This window comes from Homo sapiens, chromosome 20 (assembly GCF_000001405.40).
Source record: "Homo sapiens chromosome 20, GRCh38.p14 Primary Assembly".
Lineage (NCBI taxonomy): Eukaryota > Metazoa > Chordata > Mammalia > Primates > Hominidae > Homo > Homo sapiens.
The window spans coordinates 30,645,101-30,665,185 of NC_000020.11; the positions used below are offsets into that span (position 1 = coordinate 30,645,101).

The 20,085-nt window shown below is 42.5% G+C and overlaps 1 pseudogene across 1 annotated transcript in view; it reads right to left on the reverse strand.

Moving 5' to 3' along the window:
* LOC112268265 (ankyrin repeat domain-containing protein 26-like) overlaps positions 1-19,583 on the reverse strand; it is a 54,588-nt pseudogene extending 35,005 nt beyond the window's left edge. Inside the window, exons 1-5 of the transcript XR_007067756.1 lie at positions 19,475-19,583; positions 17,920-18,137; positions 12,146-12,191; positions 10,924-10,977; positions 10,005-10,096 (exon numbers count right to left, since the gene is read on the reverse strand). The product of XR_007067756.1 is annotated as an ankyrin repeat domain-containing protein 26-like (transcript). The remainder of the gene's footprint in view (positions 1-10,004; positions 10,097-10,923; positions 10,978-12,145; positions 12,192-17,919; positions 18,138-19,474) is intronic.
* Between the last annotated feature and the right edge of the window lie 502 nt (positions 19,584-20,085).

Genomic DNA, 20,085 nt, shown 5'->3' on the forward strand with positions numbered 1-20,085 from the left:
CCTCTGGCTTTTACACACTTCTGAACCTGCTTTACATTTTCAGCTATCTTTGTTGCTGCTTGGTAATGTAGAAGAAAAAGAAGTCCATTTTCAGGGGGAAACTTCAAGAAGGCTTCAGATATTTGCATTAAAAAGAAGTCCAGTGCTAATAGTCAAGACGATGGGGAAATGTCATTGAAGATATTTCATAGCTCCACTTCACAGTACTTTATTTTCTGTATGATCATAATGAAAAGGGGTTTAATTGGCCCATGGTTCTGCAGGCTGTAAAGAAAGCACAGTGGCTTCTGCTTCTGGAAGGACTCAGGAAGCCTCCCAATCATACCAGTAGGAAAACAGCAATGAAATGTTTCATACGGCAGGAGCAGGAGCAAGGCTGAGAGAGGAATGAGGTGCCACATCGTTATATAACCAGATCTCATGAGAACTCACTATCACTAGGTCAGCATCAAGAAGATAGTGCTTAACCATTGGTGAAGGATCCACCCCCCAACACAGTTCCACCTCCTACTGTTCCAAACAGAAGCCTGCTGCAGAGGCAGAGGCTCTTGGGAATCCTGTACTATGGTAGTGCAGAAGGAAAATAAGGGCTTTGAGTGACTATGCAGGAGGCAACCATCCTCTAAACCCCAGATTCATAGACCTACCAACAGTTCACACCCTCAGTATGGAAAAGCTACAGGCACTCAACACTAGTCCAGTCTATGAAAGAAGCCATGGGGGCTCAGACCTGCAAAGCCACAGGTGCACTTCCTTAGTAGGGATTTTCCATGAGGCTCTGCCTCTGCAGCAGGCTACTCCCCCTTCCTACTAACCACCACCCTCCCACCACCCTACAGACAGCCTACTCTTCCCCACCCTACCCACCCCTTTTTTCTTCCACCCCTACCCCTCCCATCCATGATTAAATAATCTCCCACCAGGTCCCGCCTCCAACATTTGGGATTACAATTCCACATGAGTTTTTCCAGGGGCACACAGCCAAATCATATTATGCTGACCTTGACCCCCCAAATCTCATATCCTTCTCACAGAATAAAATACATTCATGTCTTTTCAAAAGTTTCCAAAAGCCTTAACTCATTCCTACATTAACTCACATGTAAAAAGTTCAAAGTCTTATCTGAGACGAGGCTACTATCTCTTCTGCCTATGAGTCCCTGAAGTTAAAAAGGTGTTTGTTTCTTTCAAGGTACAATGATGGTACAGGTATTGGGTAAGCTTTCTCAATCCAAAGGGAAGAAATTTCCAAGAAAAATAACATAAATGGGACCACAGGCCCAATGGACATCCAAAATCCAGCAGGTCAGTGTTCATTCAATCTCACAGCTCCAAAATCATGAAGAGAACTCACTATCAGAAGGACAGCATTAAGGAGATGGTGTTTAACCATTTGTGAAGGATCCACCCCCACCTCTGCCTTTCACCCCCAACCCCACCACAATCCCCTCCAACCCTCCCCACCCCCAATCCCCTCCAACCCTCCTCGCCCCCCAATCCTCCCCAACCCTCCCCGCTCCCCAACCATCCAAACTCCACTCTTCACCATGATTAAATCACCTTCCACCAGCCCCCACCTTTAACATTTCCTATTAATATTCCGCATGAGCTTTGGTAGAGACAGAGAGCCAAAACATATTATTTTGTCCCTGGTCCCCCAAAGTTCATGTCTTTCTCACATTGCAAAATGCAATGATGGCTTCCCTAGAGTCTCTCAAATCTTAACCCATTCCAGCATCTACTCAAAGGCCCAAAGCCCAGAGTCTTATCTGAGACAAGTGTACAGTCCCTTCTGCCCATGAGTCACTGAATTATAAAGAAACTTTACTACTTCCAAGGTACAAGGATTGTACAGGCAATGGGTAAGCATTCCCAGCCAACAGAAAAAAAAATTGCTAGAAAGAAGCACAAAACACAGATGGGACTCATAGGATACATAAATGTCCAAAACCCAGCAGGCCAGTCACTCAATGCTACAGCTCCAAAATCATCATTTTTGAATCCTTGTCCCATATCCATGGCACAGGGCTGTGAGGGCTGAGCTCCCAGGGCCTTGGGCAGATCTACACCTGTGGCATTGCAGCGTTCAGACTCCGCGGCTGTCTCTCATGGACAGGGCTGTTGTTGAGTGGCCGTAGCTTTTCCCCACTGAGGGTGCAAGCTGTTTGTGGGTCTATGAATCTGGGGTTTAGAGAATGATGCCTCCCTGTGTGGGGGCTTCAACCCTATAGGTCCCTTCTTTGCTCCCCTAGTAGAGGTTCCCCATGAGGCTCTGTCTCTTAGAAAAGCTTCTTCCTGAACATCCAGGATTTTCTATACATCTTCTGGAGTCTAGACGGGAGCTCCCAAGCCTCTAATCTCTTTCTCTGTGCACCTACTGGCTTAACACTATATGGAAACCATCAAGACTTTGAGCCACCTCTGAAGCAATGACCCAAGCTGTACCTGTACATCTTTCAGCCATGGCTGGTGCTGGAGCTGCACGGATGCAGGCAGCAGTGTCCTGAGGTTGAGTACAGAAGCAGGGCCATGAGACTGGCTTAGGAAACCATTCTTCTCTCCTAGGCCCCAGGGCCTGTGACAACAAGGGCTGCTGCAGACATCTCTAAAATACCTTCAAGTCCGGTTTCCCATTGTCTTGGCTATTTGCAGTGGGTTCCTTTTTATGCAAATACCCTAAGCCTTCTTGAATTTTCCCCCTCAAAATTGGCTTTTCTTTTTGACCACTTGGCCAGGCTCCAAATTTTCCAAACTTTAGATCTCCACTTGAAGTTCCAACTTGAAGTCATTTCTTAGGTCACCCATAAGAACACAGGCTGTTCAATGCAGACAGGACACCTGTTGTGCTATGCTGCCTAGATGTTTATTTCACCAGATACATCCTAAATCATCACCCCCAAGTTCATAGTTTCACAGACCTCCAGGGCAGGGTCCCCGTGCAGCCAGCTTCTTTGCTAAGGCCAATCAAATGTAATCTTGGCTCCTGTTCCTAGGAAATTCCTCATTTTCATCTGAGACCTTTTAAGTCTGGACTTCAGTGTTTACCCTTTTGTCAGCCTTCTGATCACAAGTATTTAACAATTCTCTATAGTGGTCCAATATTTTCCTCATCTTGCTGTCTTCCAAGCTTTCCCAACTCTTCTGACCTCTGTCTTTTACACACTTCTGAACCTGGTTCTACATTGTCAGCTATCTTTATCACAGCCTGGCAATGTGGTAAAACAGAAAAGTCCATTTTCAGGGGGAAAATTCACGAAGGATTCAGATATTTGAATGAAAAGAAGCTGAGTGCTGGTTGCCAAGACAAAGGGGAAAGGGCCTTGAAGGCATTTAATGGCTCCACTTCATAGCACTAATTTTCTGTATGATCATAAAAAAAAGAGGCTTAATTGGCTCACGATTCAGCAGGCTGTAAAGGAAGCATAGTGGCTTCTGCTTCTGGGAGGATCAGATCAGGAAGCCTCCCAATCATATCAGAAGGCCAAGGGGCAATGAGATATTTCAAATATCTCATTGCAGGAGTAGAAGCAAGACTGAGAGAGGAAAGAGGTGCCACCCCCTGTTATATAACCAGATCTCATGAGAACACACTGTCATGAGGACAACATCAAGAAGACGTTGCCTAACCATTGGTGAAGGATCTGACTCCCACCCCCACCTCCCACTGTTTCCAGGCAGAAGCCTGCTGCAGATGAAGAGTTCTTGGGAAACCTCTACTAGGGCAGTGCAGAAAGAAAATATGGACTTGGAGCCCCCACGCAGGGGGCAACCACCCTCCAGATCCCAGATTCATAAACCCACCAACAGCTTGCACCCTCCGTGTGGAAAAGCTACAGGCACTCAACACTAGTCCAGTCTATGAAAGAAGCCATGGGGGCTCAGACCTGCAAAGCCACAGGTGCACTTCCTTAGTAGGGATTTTCCATGAGGCTCTGCCTCTGCAGCAGGCTACTCCCCCTTCCTACTACCCACCACCCTCCCACCACCGTACAGCCAGTCTAATCCCTCCCACCCTACCCACCCCTTTTTCCCTTCCACATCCACCCGTACCCATCCATGATTAAATCACTCCCTCCCACTCCCTCTCATACTCTAATCCCTCCAAGCCCTTCCAATCTTTGTTTGCTACCCACTATTGAGCCTGCTTCTACTTTTTCAGATATCTGTATAGCAGGTTGGCTATGTAGCAATAACAAAAATCCCATTTAAGGGGAAACATTCAAGAAGATTTCAGAAATTTGCATATAAAGAAGCCCTGTGCTAATAGCCAAGACAAAGGGAAAAAGGCCTTGAAGACATTTCACAGCTCCTCTCTGCAGTTCTAATTTTCTGTATTATTGTAAATAAAAGAGGTGTAATTGACTCATGATTCTGCAAGCTGTGAAAGAAGCATTGTGTCTTCTGTTTCTGGGAGGAATCAGGAAGACTCCTCATTATATCAGAAAACCAAGGGACAATGAGATGTCTCCTAAAGCAGGAGTAGGAGGAAGACAGAGTGAGGGAAGAGGTTCCACAGCCTGTTAAACAACCAGATCTCATGAGAACTCACTCACTATCAGGAGGATAGCATCAAGGTGATGGTCCTTTATCATTCGTGAAGTATCTACATGCACCATTTTATGACTAAATCTTTTTCCACCTAGGCCCCGCCTCTAACATTACAAAATATAATTCCACATGAGTTTTGGTAGGGACATAGAGAAAAACCATATTATTCTGCCCCTGACCCCATGAATCTCATGTCCTTCTCACATTGCAAAATACAATCATGCCTTGGCAGCAGTCTCCCAAAGTCTTAACACATTTCAGGATTAACTCAAAGTTACAAAGTCCAAAGTCTCATCTGGGTCAAGGCTGCAGTCTATTTTGCCTATAAGTCTCTGACATAAAAAGCAAGTTCACTGCTTCTAGGGTACAATGATGGTACAGGCATTGTGTAAGCTTTCCATATCCAAAAGAAAGACATTTTCCAGAAAGCTTCTTATTTCTCTCTGAGACCTCCTCAGTCTGGCCTTCACTGTCCATGTTTCTGTCAGGATTTTTGTCACAGCCATTGAGCCAGACTCTAAGATGGTCCAAAAGTTTTCTCATCTATCTGTCTTCTTTTGAGCCTTCCAAACTCTTCCAATCTCCTTCCATTACCTGGTTCCAAAGTTGCTTCCACATTTCCAGGTATCTTTATAGCAATATTCTAAGTCCCCATTTGCCATTTTCTGTATGATTTACTTTGAAAAAGAGGTTTAATTGGCTCATGGTTCTAAGCACAGTGCTTCTGCTTCTAGGAGGCCTCAGAAATCTTTCAATAATCATGGAAGGCAAAGAAAGAATCAGTTGTCTCACATGGCAAGGGGAAAACAAGGAGAGTAGGGAGGGGACATAGAGTTTTCAGTGACCAGATCTCATGAGAAGTCACTCATTATTGTGAGAATGCTACAAGGGGATGGTGCTGAACCACTCATGGGAAATTTGCCTTCATAATTCAATCATCTTATACCAGGATCCACCTTCCACATTAGGAAATATAATTCAACATGAGATTCGGTAGAGACACATATTCAAATTGCATCATCAATATTTGAATATAAAGACATCCACAGCAGGCTTTATCCAGCCAACTTCTTTGAGACTCTTTATAGGGTTTGAGGTCTAGAGCATATACACTAAAATATTCATACTTCAAAAAGCAATAAAGTGGTATTATCATTTTTCCAAAAGTTACAGCAGTAGTTTAGGCATTCATAGCATGATTTAATTCACATTTGCTACTGTTTCTATTCTATCACCATATTAACTGTTTCCTATACAATTTTGTATTCAGCTGGATTTCAGTTGAGCACAAAACCATCCTTGTACTAGCTCTTTGCTAGTGTTATTATTCTGCTGTAGAAAGTATCCTTGAACTGGAAACAGTCCACGATTGAGTATCGAGTCATTCAACACTATCAATTCCTGGGTAGCTTTTTGAAAAAGTAGTATCTCTTGTTGCAAGAAATGCTGCATCTGTGAGTCCATGTCTCTCACTGGAATTGGATGGAAGTGGTGAATTTCAGCCAAAGCGGCCAAAGAAATCCTGTTCCTGTGATTCTGACATCATCAGCCTCTGCATCTCTGTCTTCCCTTCTGCCACATGTTGCCTGCTCTCTGTGACTTTGGTAAGAGCTTCCTTGTGTATGTGGATGATGTCCAAGATGTTGGTCTGATGTCCCTGAGACAGCACTAACAGGTCCATGGCTGGGTCCAGATCCTGCCTGGACTGATTGACAAAGAGCTCACTGACAGTTTGGAAGACGCTCTTTCTTAAAGCCTGTCACCACTCATTGGCTGTGAAGTTGAGCTGAGTGCCCTGTTGTCCATCTTCTTGGTGAAGCACTTGAAGCCATCAATCTTGCTCTCCCACTCCTAAAGGTTGAGTGTCACCCTGAGGGAGGGCTCAGGGCCAGGAAGAATCTGGCACTCACCATCTCATCCTTCTCAGCCTTCCTCTTGCCCTGTCTCCAGGCTGTCTCTTCAGTGCTGGTGGGGCACATCAGGAAGTGACAAAAAATGTGGCACTGTGCCTGCACCCAGAAGCTGGCTGTGTGGTTCATCTACCAGATTGGGCCCTTTCTGCACTGGAACATAGGTCCACTTCACCATAGATTCCTTCCACACTGTCAGTGAGCTCTTTGCCAATCAGCCCAGGCAGAACCTGCACCCAGTCGTGGACCTGTTAGTGCTGTCTCAGGGACACCAGGCCAAAATTCTGGACATCATCCACATATCCAAGGAAGCTCTTACCAGAGTCCTCCTCAAGATGGCCTGTGGTCTGCCTCTTGGCACCTGAGAAGCCCACAGTGCTGTAGAAGCCCCGATGCATGGACTGGAGCCCCAAAGGTGGCACACACTCCGCTCCTGAGCCTTCTGCTTGTTTCCTCTATGTGGCTCCATTTGCAGCACATTTGTTGCACTGAGGCCTATGCATCCCAGGCAAAGCCAAGCTGGCTCAAAGAGCAACGAGCCACCTCTGCAAGGGTGTGCCAGGAGCCAATGGACCAGCCACCAACATCACTCCCTGCCAGTCAGGGTAAATCAGTTATTCTGCCCTGGAGGTAGAGCCCCAGTGCCATCTGCTTTTCCTCAGGTCTCCACTCCATCAGCTGTCTTGTGGTGGTCACTCAGGCTGTGGGAACCTGGCCATCCCTGTTTCCTTGAGTGGGTGAGGTTGGTGACTGCTCCACCTGCTCCTGGCACACCCTTGCAGAGGTGGCTGGTTGCTCTTTGAGCCATCTTGTCCTTGCCTGGCATGCACAGGCCCCAGGTACTGAGAAGTTGCTCCGAGTAAGCTTGTCTTGGCCCAAATTCTAAGTCTGGCCAAGGCCACAGAAGGCCGAGTCCCCTGGGTGGTAATCCTGGCTGCAGCAGGGGGGCACATGGTGCCCCTCCCCTCCCAGGGCTCAGGATGAGGTCCGACTGGGATAGGATGCTTTAGGTATGGGACTTGTGCCCCAGGAGGGGGCCTCTGTCACACAGAGCCTCTATAGGTGCTCCCCAATCTCTGCCCTCCCCACCCATGGTGGTCCTGGGGATGCAGACAGAGGAGGGGCACTGCATATTGCTGAGAGGGCTGGCATCCTCTCTAGGTGGAACATAGGTCATTTGTAAAGTTGTAGGCCTGCCAAGCAATATTGGATTCAACACATTTTCTCACCTTCTCTTACCAGCCACCCTCCAGGGTTCCCTGACTCACCTCCCTGCAGATGGAGGCAAGGAGGCTCCACAGTCAAACCACAGAAGATGTATGGCATGCTGCTGGCTACCAGGGCTGTTGGGATGCACGTTCACCCTTCCCTTCAGGGACCTCAAAGTGACCAGCTTCCCCTTGAAGAATGACTCTCCAAGGCCCAGGAGCCATCTGGGGCTGCAGAGCAGCTGGCCACATGCTGCCCTGGCTTCTTCCATGTTGTGCTGGTCACTACCCACCAAGGGGGGTCAGATGCAGGCACGATGCAGGATGGTTGTCTCTGGACCTGTGTCTTGGTTATCATGGAGCTGGACTAGGCCTGGTGACAGGGCCCTGATGGGGTTGTCCTGGGTGGTCACGGGGGTGATGAGAAAAGATGCAGAATGGAATTGCTGTGAGGATGAATGAGACGACTGTCAGCACAGAACAGGCACCCGGTGAGTGTTCAGGGATTACCCTCAGTAGCTGCCCAGAGGCCAAAACCGCACACCTGATAGTGACTGTCCCCAAGCCAGGAGGAAGAGAGGAGAGCAGGTCCCACTCACCTGAGTCTGATCAGTGAGCTTTGTTGAGATGTGCCTGTCATCTAGAAAATGGTCCTTCACGCAGAGCTACTCACAGACACTGCTGTGTGTCTCTAACTTCTCCACAACACAGAGGCCATGGGGACTCAGGAAGAGTGACACTGTGGGGTGACACAACCCACCACAACGGGAGCCTGCTTGGGTCAACAGGGCCCAGCGTCAGGGTCCTCTGTCCCCTGAACTGACATGTGGGTATGCAATGTGTTTGTGTATGCATGTGTGCCTGTGTGCGTGCGCGTGTGTATGTGTGTGTTTGTCTTGCTTCTCTGGACAGGCCTAGCTTCTCCACTCATGGGTGCCCCCAGGTCCTCATCACTGTCACCTTAGAGCATTAGAGCCTCTATAGGTGCTCCCCAATCTCTGCCCTCCCCACCCATGGTGGTCCTGGGGATGCAGACAGAGGAGGGGCACTGCATATTGCTGAGAGGGCTGGCATCCTCTCTAGGTGGAACACAGGTCATTTGTAAAGTTGTAGGCCTGCCAAGCAATATTGGATTCAACACATTTTCTCACCTTCTCTTACCAGCCACCCTCCAGGGTTCCCTGACTCACCTCCCTGCAGATGGAGGCAAGGAGGCTCCACAGTCAAACCCCCTGCCTGAGGTCACATAGTGGCTAGCAGGCCACGTACTGACTAACCGCCCCTGACCAGGTTCCCAGTAATGAGTGATGAGGCCCCTAATGACCACTCCTCCATTGACCAGGTCCCACTGATCAAGTCCCCACTGACCATGTCTTCCTAACCAGGCCCGCACTTAATAGGCCTCATGGGCCAGACCCCACTGACCAATTTTCCACTGAGCTGGTCCCCACTGACAAAACCGGGTTCCCACTGACAAGACCACAATTTACCAGGTTGCTGCTCACCCGACCCCTCACTGAACAATTCTCCATGGATGAGTCCCCAGCTGACTGAGCCCCCTCTGACCAGGCCCTCACTGACCAGGATCCAAGCCACTAAGGCCCCACATCGACCAGGACCCTGGTATACTGTATATGCCCCACCAACCAGTTTTTCATTGTTTATGTTCCAACTGATCAGGCCCCACTAATAAGGCCACCACTGACTAGGTCCCCCCACTGACCAGGCTTCCAATGACTAGGTCACCAGGTCCCCACTGATGAGGCCTTTACTGAGGAGACCACCACTAACCAGGCCCCTGCTGATCAGGTCCCAAATGACTAGGTCCTGGTGACCAAGTCATCTCTGACCATGGTCCATTGACCAGGCCTATGAGCAACGGGACTCAAAGTCTCATTACAATGTCCCCCTCAGCTCATAGACCCTCCCTCCCTGCGTGTGTGGCCAGAGGTTAGGCCCTGGGGGTTTTTTTGAGACATGGTCTTTCCTCCAAGACACAGGGAAAGACAGTTGGCCTCAGGCTCCAGGTTCCCAGCTCCACACTCACCCCAAAGGCCCTCTGGCCCCATCTCAAAGGAGACAGTGAGGTGGCCTGACACTGCCTGGACACGCCATCTACCCTATTCCTGAGTGTCAGAGTGTGAGGAAGGGAGGGACATTTGGCAAATGAGACACCCTGTGCTGTTGGGTCTCCCAGGGCCCTTCCCATACAGCCCCGATCTAAAGACACAACACAAAGGCTACAGGAAGACTAATCCAGAACCTCTGAGTCTCAGACAGGGACCACCTGAGGACTCTCCCCAGACAGCCAGAAGGCCCTTTGCTAGTTTCTTGGTACCTCAGTGGATGTGGCAGCAGTTCTTCTGTTGGGGACCAGTGAGTACACGCTGGGGAGGGCTCACCTGTGCTTCCTCATTGGCTCCACTTCTGCTTCTAAAAAAAATTACTCATTCCAGAGCTGGGGCAGAGAAAATACAAGATGAGCTTAGAAAATCTTCTGCCAGAAAGTAAAAAAGTGCTGACAGAGTAATGGAGACAAATCAAAGAGACATAAAGTCAGGTTGGAATGTCTACTACTGGCCTAATCTTGGGGAATTGGAGCATCAGAATCATGAGCTTTCCTTCTCCCTTATTTATTGGTTTTATTTCTCCATGTAGAACAAAGAAGAGAATAAGAAAATAATCATCTGGCAACCATCAAAGTAATAATTGTTCAAACACAAGTCATCCATGAAATGCTAAATCTAGTGGGTTCTGAGGAGTTACCAGATATTTACAGAGCCTCAAAGTATCTCCATACAAAATACGGTTGAACTACAAAAAGAAAATCATAACATTAGTATGGACAAACCTGGCAGGTACTCCTTAAGTCTCCTAAGTAATAAAAACTGTAAAATGCAAATAAGCCTTTGATGACCTTTACTAACCTTTACTAAAGTATCGATGACGTGGTTGTTTAAACAGCTGACATTTGGGCAATTTGAGTATGTCAAACTCAATAATACTGGTTTTCATTTGCAAGATCCACTTAAAACTTAAGGAGGTTAAAAAACATCATTTAAAATACCCTATAAATTATCTTCATACATATGATACAAAAATATCCTACTTCAGTAAATGTTGTAATGTTATATATTTTGTGAGAAACAATTAAAACGTGTAAATAGCCTGGTAATAAAGTTTTATAATCCTTTAAATCATACAATTTTTCCTTAAGACTTTATGGTTAAATATTCTCTTTGTTAGATATGGCTTACCAGTGGATTCTAGAGAAGAAAGTAGATGGGAGCAAGTGTCCAACACAGCAACAGCTGGAAAGAAAAATAAAGAATTATGTTCTTTACCTAAAACACTTCAGTTAACTAAGTGTGCGTTTAAAAACTAAAGAGTTGAGAACTTTATCAGATTTAATAAGAATGAGAAATATGTATGTACATTTACAATACAAAATTACTATTTAATAAATTACACATGGCATTAATTCTAATTGTGTTTAAATACCAGAGCTTTTTCATTCTTCATTCATGTAATCAACAGCCACATGCTAAGGTACTAGAACCAGCACTGGAATTGCAAGATGAAGATGGCATGGTCCACCTCTCAACAATCATATGCTATAAACTAAAAAAACAGACAGGAAGGCAATGTCCATATAGAGTCATAGATACTATGATAGGTATAGAGCAGAGCACTACTGGAACACACAGAAGTGACATCTACCCACTTTTATGTCAATATCATGGGCTTTCTGGTGGAGGAGATAACATAGATTGATACCTGAAGGACAAGGAAAAGTTTCCCAGATAGAGGGAAGAGGCGAAGGCAAAGAGCCTGAGGTGAGGAAGAGCCCTGCAGAGTTCCACTCCATCCAGTTTGGTGCTAAAGCAAAGGGCAGAGTGCAGTAACTGGTGAGAGACAAGGCTGAGTAACTTGATGAGAATTACTTTGACATGGGAGTTTTTATTTCATGGTGAAAAATATGGAACTTTTCCTGAGAACAAGTGTAAGCCACTGACACAGTAAATGACAGGAGATTTAAAAGGCCACCTGTCAAGTGACTGCTTATGAAGGGTTATTGCTCAGCTAAGTATTTCTGAATGAGTCTTAGGTCTGTTGGCCTTCAATCTCTACCAAAACCTTTGTTTTTTGATGATGCCTTTGTTTTCTGAGAATCGTTTCAGTGTGCTGGCTGACAGTTCCATGAAGATGGCGAAACTTAAGAAAGTGTAGAGCCAGTGAAAAAGAGATGCCCAGACTTCTTAGGAATTGTTTAAGCTATGGAACATGATGAATTTATGGTGCATAAGTACAGTCTTCTCTGTGAAAGTTTTTGTTTTCACATCTTTCATTTGAAGTGTGTAAGAAAAAAATGCTTGATGTAGTATCTACTAACCCAAGAATGAAAAGGAATGTCATTTGCTATTTACACTTTATTTCTAAAATAAACCTGAATTTAATTAATAAATTTTGGCAATGTACTTCTCTTTGTTTCTCTAATTATTTGTTCTACACAGTCTGCCTCCATCTACAATAAGTAAAAATAATATTAATGTTTAAGTTAAACAAAAACATTATCATGAAAATAAGGTATCTCTTATAAAATGTGGCCTTTAGTATTTTTAGTGACTAGACATAACTTGAAATTTGCTTAAATAGAAAAATAATCACATTAATAAAGTAAAATTTCTACTTATTTTAAGTTTAGATAACAGAGGATGTATATGTGTAATGCTGTTTAGAGTAATCTGACAAAAATGCAGTTAATATTAATCTATTGCATATACATGGTTTTAGAAAGGAAGTGTTTTATTAGAACAAAGGTTAAACAATGGCCAGGCATGGTGGCTCATACCTGTAATCCCAGCACTTGGGGAGGCCAAAGCAGGCAGATCACAAGGTCAGGAGATTGTGACCATCCTGGCCAACATGGGGAAACCCCATCTCTACTAAAAATACAAAAATTAGCTGGGCGTGGTGATGCTCACCTGTAGTCCCAGCTACTTGGGATACTAAGGCAGGAGAATTGCTTGAAGCCAGGAGGTGGAGGTTGCAGTGAGCCAAGACTGCACCACTGCACTTCAGCCTGGTGACAGAGTGAGACCTTGTCTCAATATACGAAAATCAATAAATGTAATCCAGCATATAAACAGAGCCAAAGACCAAAACCACATGATTATCTCAATAGATGCAGAAAAAGCCATTGACAAAATTCAACAACGCTTCATGCTAAAAACTCTCAATAAATTAGGTATTGATGGGACATATTTCAAAATAATAAGAGCTATCTATGACAAACCCACAGCCAATATCATACTGAATGGGCAAAAACTGGAAGCATTCCCTTTGAAAACTGGCACAAGACAGGGATGCCCTCTCTCACCACTCCTATTCAACATGGTGTTGGAAGTTCTGGCCAGGGCAATTAGGCAGGAGAAGGAAATAAAGGGTATGCAATTAGGAAAAGAGGAAGTCAAATTGTCCCTGTTTGCAGATGACACAATTGTATATCTAGAAAACCCCATTGTCTCAGCCCAAAATCTCCTTAAGCTGATAAGCAACTTCAGCAAAGTGTCAGGATACAAAATCAATGTACAAAAATCACAAGCATTCTTATACACCAACAACAGACAAACAGAGAGCCAAATCATGAGTGAACTGCCATTCACAATTTCTTCAAAGAGAATAAAATACCTAGGAATCCAACTTACAAGGGATGTGAAGGACCTCTTCAAGGATAACTACAAACCACTGCTCAAGGAAATAAAAGAGGATACAAACAAATGGAAGAACATTCCATGCTCATGGGTAGGAAGAATCAATATCGTGAAAATGGCCATACTGCCCAAGGTAATTTACAGATTCAATGCCATCCCCATCAAGCTACCAATGCCTTTCTTCACAGAATTGGAAAAAACGACTTTAAAGTTCATATGGAACCAAAAAAGAGCCCATATCGCCAAGTCAATCCTAAGCCAAAAGAACAAAGCTGGAGGCATCACACTACCTGACTTCAAACTATACTACAAGTCTACAGTAACCAAAACAGCATGGTACTGGTACCAAAACAGAGATATAGATCAATGGAACAGAACTGAGCCCTCAGAAATAAAGCCGCATATCTACAACTATCTGATCTTTGACAAACCTGCGAAAAACAAGCAATGGGGAAATGATTCCCTATTTAATAAATGGTGCTGGGAAAACTGGCTAGCCATATGTAGAAAGCTGAAACTGGATCCCTTCCTTACACCTTATACAAAAATCAATTCAAGATGGATTAAAGACTTAAACGTTAGACCTAAAACCATAAAAACCCTAGAAGCAACCCTAGGCATTACCATTCAGGACATAGGCATGGGCAAGGACTTCATGTCATGTCGAAAACACCAAAAGCAATGGCAACAAAAGCCAAAATTGACAAATGGGATCTAATTAAACTAAAGAGCTTCTGCACAGCAAAAGAAACTACCATCAGAGTGAATAGGCAACCTACAAAATGGGAGAAAATTTTCACAACCTACTCATCTGACAAAGGGCTAATATCCAGAATCTACAATGAACTCAAACAAATTTACAAGAAAAAAACAAACAACCCCATCAAAAAGTGGGCAAAGGACATGAACAGACACTTCTCAAAAGAAGACATTTATGCAGCCAAAAAACACATGAAAAAATGCTCATCATCACTGGCCATCAGAGAAATGCAAATCAAAACCACAATGAGATACCATCTCACACTAGTTAGAATGGCTATCATTAAAAAGTCAGGAAACAACAGGTGCTGGAGAGGATGTGGAGAAATAGGAACACTTTTACACTGTTGATGGGACTGTAAACTAGTTCAACCATTGTGGAAGTCAGTGTGGCGATTCCTCAGGGATCTAGAACTGGAAATACCATTTGACCCAGCCATCCCATTACTGGGTATATACCCGAAGGACTATAAATCATGCTGCTATAAAGACACATGCACACGTATGTTTATTGTGGCATTATTCACAATAGCAAAGACTTGGAACCAACCCAAATGTCCAACAATGATAGACTGGATTAAGAAAATGTGGCACATATACACCATGGAATACTATGCAGCCATAAAAAATGATGAGTTCATGTCCTTTGTAGGGACATGGATGAAATTGGAAATCACCATTCTCAGTAAACTATCACAAGAACAAAAAACCAAACACCGCATATTCTCACTCATAGGTGGCAATTGAACAATGAGAACTCATGGACAAAGGAAGGGGAACATCACACTCTGGGGACTGTTGTGGGGTGGGGGGAGGGGGGAGGGATGGCATTGGGAGATATACCTAATGCTAGATGACGAGTTAGTGGGTGCAGTGCACCATCAAGTCACATATATACATATGTAACTAACCTGCACATTGTGCACATGTACCCTAAAACTTAAAGTATAATAATAAAAAAAAGATTAAGTAATTAAAACCATCTTTTGCAGTGAATGGATTGCTTTGAAATTCTTAGAAAACTCTGCCCTTTATAAAAGTTTAATCCATTTTTTACTTCAATAAATTTTATCTTAAAAAGAAATTTCTATTCTCTACTTATAGTAAACCTTTCTTTTTTTTCTAGTTTGTATTCTGAATTAAGGTGGTACCTCTGTAGGTTTCTTTCAAAGGCATATTTACGGATGCCGAGGTTTTCAGTACAATTGAACTCATCACACAGGTAGTGAGCATAGGACCCAATAAGTAGTTTTTCAACCCTGGCCCACTCTGTTCCTCCCCATTCTTATTTCCCAGTGTCTATTATTCCCATGTTTATGACAATGCGCACCCAATGTGTAGCTCCCACATGAGTGAAAAGATGAGATATTTGGTTTCTGTTTCTGCGTTGGTTTGCTTAGAAGAGTGGATTCCAGCTGTATCCATGTTGCTGCAAATGACGTGATTTTGTTCTTTTTATGGCTGCATAGTATTCTATGGTATATATGGAATTTTCCAATCTACCTTGGATTTTCAATCTACCGTGGATGCACCTGGATTGACTCCACGTCTTTGCTATTGTGAATAGTGCTGCAATGAACATACATGTGTATGCATCTTTTTATTACAATGATTTATTGTCCTTTTGGTATACCCCTAGTATAGTAATGGGGTTGCTGCATCCAACAGTCATTCTTAGTTCTTAATTTCCAAGCTGCTCTCCATAGTAGCTGAATTAATTTGCATTGCCACAAACAGCGTGTGTTCCCTTTTCTCCACAGCCTCCCCAAAATCTTTTTTAATTTATTTATTATTTTTTTTAACAAAAGTCATTCGGACTGGTGTGAAATGGTATCTCACTGATGTTTTGTTTGGCATTTTTCTGATGATTAGCAATGGTAGGCATTTGTTAATGTTTGTTGGCCACTACATGTGTTATTTCAAGAAGTGTCTGTTCATGTCCTTTGCCCATTTTTAATGGTGTTATTTATTTTTTGCTTGTTGATTTGTTTAGGTCTCTTATGGATTCTGGATAATAGGATAATAGGCGTTTGCTATATCCATAGTTTGTGAATATTTTCTTCCATTCTTTAGGCTGTCCGTTTAATCCCGTGATAATTTCTCATGCTGTGCAGAAGCTATTTAGCTAAATTAGATCACACTTGTCAATTTTTGTTATTCTTGCAATTGCTTTTGAGGACTTAGCCATAAATTAATTGACAAATATGATGTCCAGAAGAGTACTTCCTAGGTTTTCTTCCAGGATTTTTATAGTCAGAAGATGTACTCTTATGTAAGAAAAGCACAAATATTTTTATTTTTTTATTTTTATTTTTTTGAGATGGAGTCTCCATCACCCAGGCTATAGTGCAGTGGTATGTTCTTGGCTTACTGCAACCTCTGTCTCCTGGGTTCAAGTGATTCTCCTGCCTCAGCCTCCTGAGTATCTGAGATTACACATGCCTGCCAACACGCCTTGCTAATTTTTGTATTTTAACTAGAGACAGGTTTCATCATGTTGGCCAGGCTGGTCTCAAACTCCTGACCTCAGGTGATTCATCTGCCTCGGCCTCCCCAAATTTTGGGATTACAAGTGTGAGCCACCGTGCCTGGGCAAGCACAAAGCTTTTAAAATAAAAATGGAAATGAACATTTTAGTGTTTTGTTTAATTCATAAAATGCAATTATTTTGGATTCTACTAAATAATAAACATCCATATGTGGCAAAGTGTTTTGATGCCAATCATTCAGTTGTGATTATGGGTGGGAAGAGTTGAGATGGTGCAAATAAACTTTTTTTAAAATTTTTTATTTTCAAGATGGAGTCTTGCCCTGTCACCCAGGCTGGAGTGCAGTGGTGCAATCTTAGCTCCTGCAACCTCCGTCTCCCAGGTTCAAGCAATTCTCTGCCTCAGCCTTCCTAGTAGCTGGGATTACAGGTGCCCACCATCACACCAGACTAATTTTTTTTTTTTTGTACTTTTAGTAGAGATGGAGTTTCACCATCTTGGCCAGGCTGGTCTTGAACTCCTGATCTCGTGATACACCTGCCTCAGCCTCCCAAAGTGCTGGGATTACAGGCATGAGTCACAGCACCTGGCCGGTGCAAATAAACTTTAAAAGTGACATGGGCCGGGTGCGGTGGCTCATGCCTGTAATACCAACACTTTGAGAGGCTGAGGCAGGCAGATCACAAGGTTAGGAGTTCAAGAAGAGCCTGGCCAATATGGAGAAACCCTGTCTCTACTAAAAATACAAACATTAGCTGGGTGTAATGGTGGGTGCTTGTAGTCTCAGCTACTCAGGTGGCTGAGGCAGGAGAATCACTTGAACCCGTGAGGTGGAGGTTGCAGTGAGTGGAGATGGCACCAAGACACTCCAGCCTGGGTGACAGAGTGAGACACTGCATCAAAAAAAAGAAAAAAAAATGTGGTATGAACCACAGCTAAACTACAATCAATTAGAGAGTAAGCCAAAGCATCTCAAAGTATATCATCAGTTATCAGGCAATAACATGCAATTTCTAAATCCTAACCTATATGCAGCTTTTAAAGACATTTTAAACGTGTCAGTTTAGTCACATTTATTGAATAAAGTTAGCAAATGGATATCTCTTGAAAATGAGAGCTCCAGAGAATTAAAAAATGTAAAGTTCCCATTTCCTTTCTGTGTTAACACAGCTAATTATGATCTTTACTTAACATGCAAAAGTCAACAGAACAACTCAGTATCTCACCAAATTAAAAACAAGAATTACACTAGAGAAATGAAACCCTAAAGAAAAACGGTCATATAACTAACCTCAGTCAAGTAGTTCTGGCAGTTATTTGAAGTCTGAGGGTTTGAAGTAGGAATTCTTACTGGCATTTGGGGAATATATTTTCTGTTGAGTCCTATACTAGTAAGATTTTCAACACAAGGTGACTCTCAGCCTCACCTTGTAGGAAGAGAGCTGAGAAAATATTTCACCTGCTCTTTCTCCATAAGGAGCTTGGTGCTGATCATTGTTATTTTCTTATTCGATCCGTAAAGATAACAAAGACAAATGCTTAGTATTTCATTTTTCCTTAAATGATTCTTAATGACTTGCAGTTTTTAAAAACTTGCTCTGAGAGTAAACCAAATTACCCACTAAACAGTGTTTTCACACCGAAGATGTGTAAGAGCATACCTGTTGTAAGGAATTATAATTTTAAAATCGTTCTAAAGAAGCACCTTGGTTTCTAAGGTGATTTATACTGAACAAGCAGTTCAAACAAAGTAGACAGTGAAGAGAAATGGCTATCAGTCATGTATGGCTCAACAGGCAAAACTTGCTGCCTTCTAAAATGGCTCTACTTGTAAGATTCTGAAGATTCCATTAGAAATACTTGTATTTAAAGGGTAATAATGTGGGAAAATGAATATGTTGATTTGCTTGATTATAGGAACCACTTCAATAGAAATAATTATATCAAAACATCATGTTGTACTCCTTAATGTAGGTTAAGAAAACTAAAATGAACAAAAAAAAATCTAGGAATACTTGTGTTTAGTAAACCAGTTTTAGATTTCACCCTTGTACATTTCACCCATTATCTAGGACCAATTAAACATTTGGCACTGAGGAATAATTCAGAGCAACAACTCCTAGGGGAGAACTAGATTGTCTGGTTGGTGATCAAAAAGAACTAAAGCATCTCTGAAGGCAATTAGCTCTCAACACTGTGACCAAGGCCCTGGAGGTGGGGCATGTTCTTTCTGCCTTCCACACACCCCTTCAGGCTGAACAAGGTGTTATTTTTTAACTGCTTTGTGAATTACACTTCTTTAAATTCCTGTGATAATTATTCCCTATTTCACAAGGATGCCTTTCTGTAACATCTTGAATATGTTACACAAATAGTCTTTCTTGAGGCACCCTCTGATGATAATACTAAAGATCACAATCAAAAATGATTGTGCCCAGAGTAGCAGTACCACTTTGCATTTAGGTTGTGATCTACTGAAAAATAAATTAAACACATTAATATTTCTATTTAGGGAAATTCTGACAAGTAATTTTATAACAGGATCACTTCATTAATTATAAAGCTTCAAAATACTTAATAAAAAACTAACAGATCAGGTTAATTACATGAGACTTTTCAGGGGAAAAAGCCATACAAAAACAAACAAAAAAAAAATGAGAGGAGAGACAAAAACTATCTTTGACTAACATTTTAAAGGTAAGATTATTTACTAACATTATTTTTCAAAATTACATTGTCAAATTAGCATTCACTTCCTAGTAATATCCTGAAGCCATCTCACTAAAAATTATGCTTTTGAAACAAATTAACGAGCTTAATTCATTTTCTATGAGTGTATGTTTGGACTTGCTTCGTTAATTTTTTTGACATGGAATTGTTAGCTTTCAATGCTGCTGCAAAGGCTTCCTTATATTCTTCTAACTCAGTTGTAACCTCTTCATAAGCAGTTTACATTTTGTAGAATTTACATTCCACATCTTTAAGTGTGAGTTCCTTCTTATTTAGTGAAGCCATATTATCCTTGTTTAACTGCTCTAATTGTTTTTTATATTGTGCTTGTAACTAAAACAAAGGAAAAGAATACACTTTTAAAACAATTATAACCTAATTATTGTATGTTTGTTGCCTTTCATTTTGAGTCAGTGATTCAAAGAGCAATTTTGAATATGTTAAAAAAGAGGCTGAAGCTTAAAATATTTCAGCAATATCAAAACTAATAACTGAATTCACAATTAAGTCTGATTTATAAAAATTTGAAATCATAATTATGTTAGTATTCATGTAATCTGGTCATATAAAAAGTAATAGAATCCTTTCATAATTTTAAAAAGTGATTAATGAACAATGTAGCTTAAGACCAATTCAAAAGTGTCACATAATTTCTAAATCACAATTTTTTCCTATGCCAACTGGCCTTAATCATCAAATGACTCCATAATGAGAATCATTACTCTGA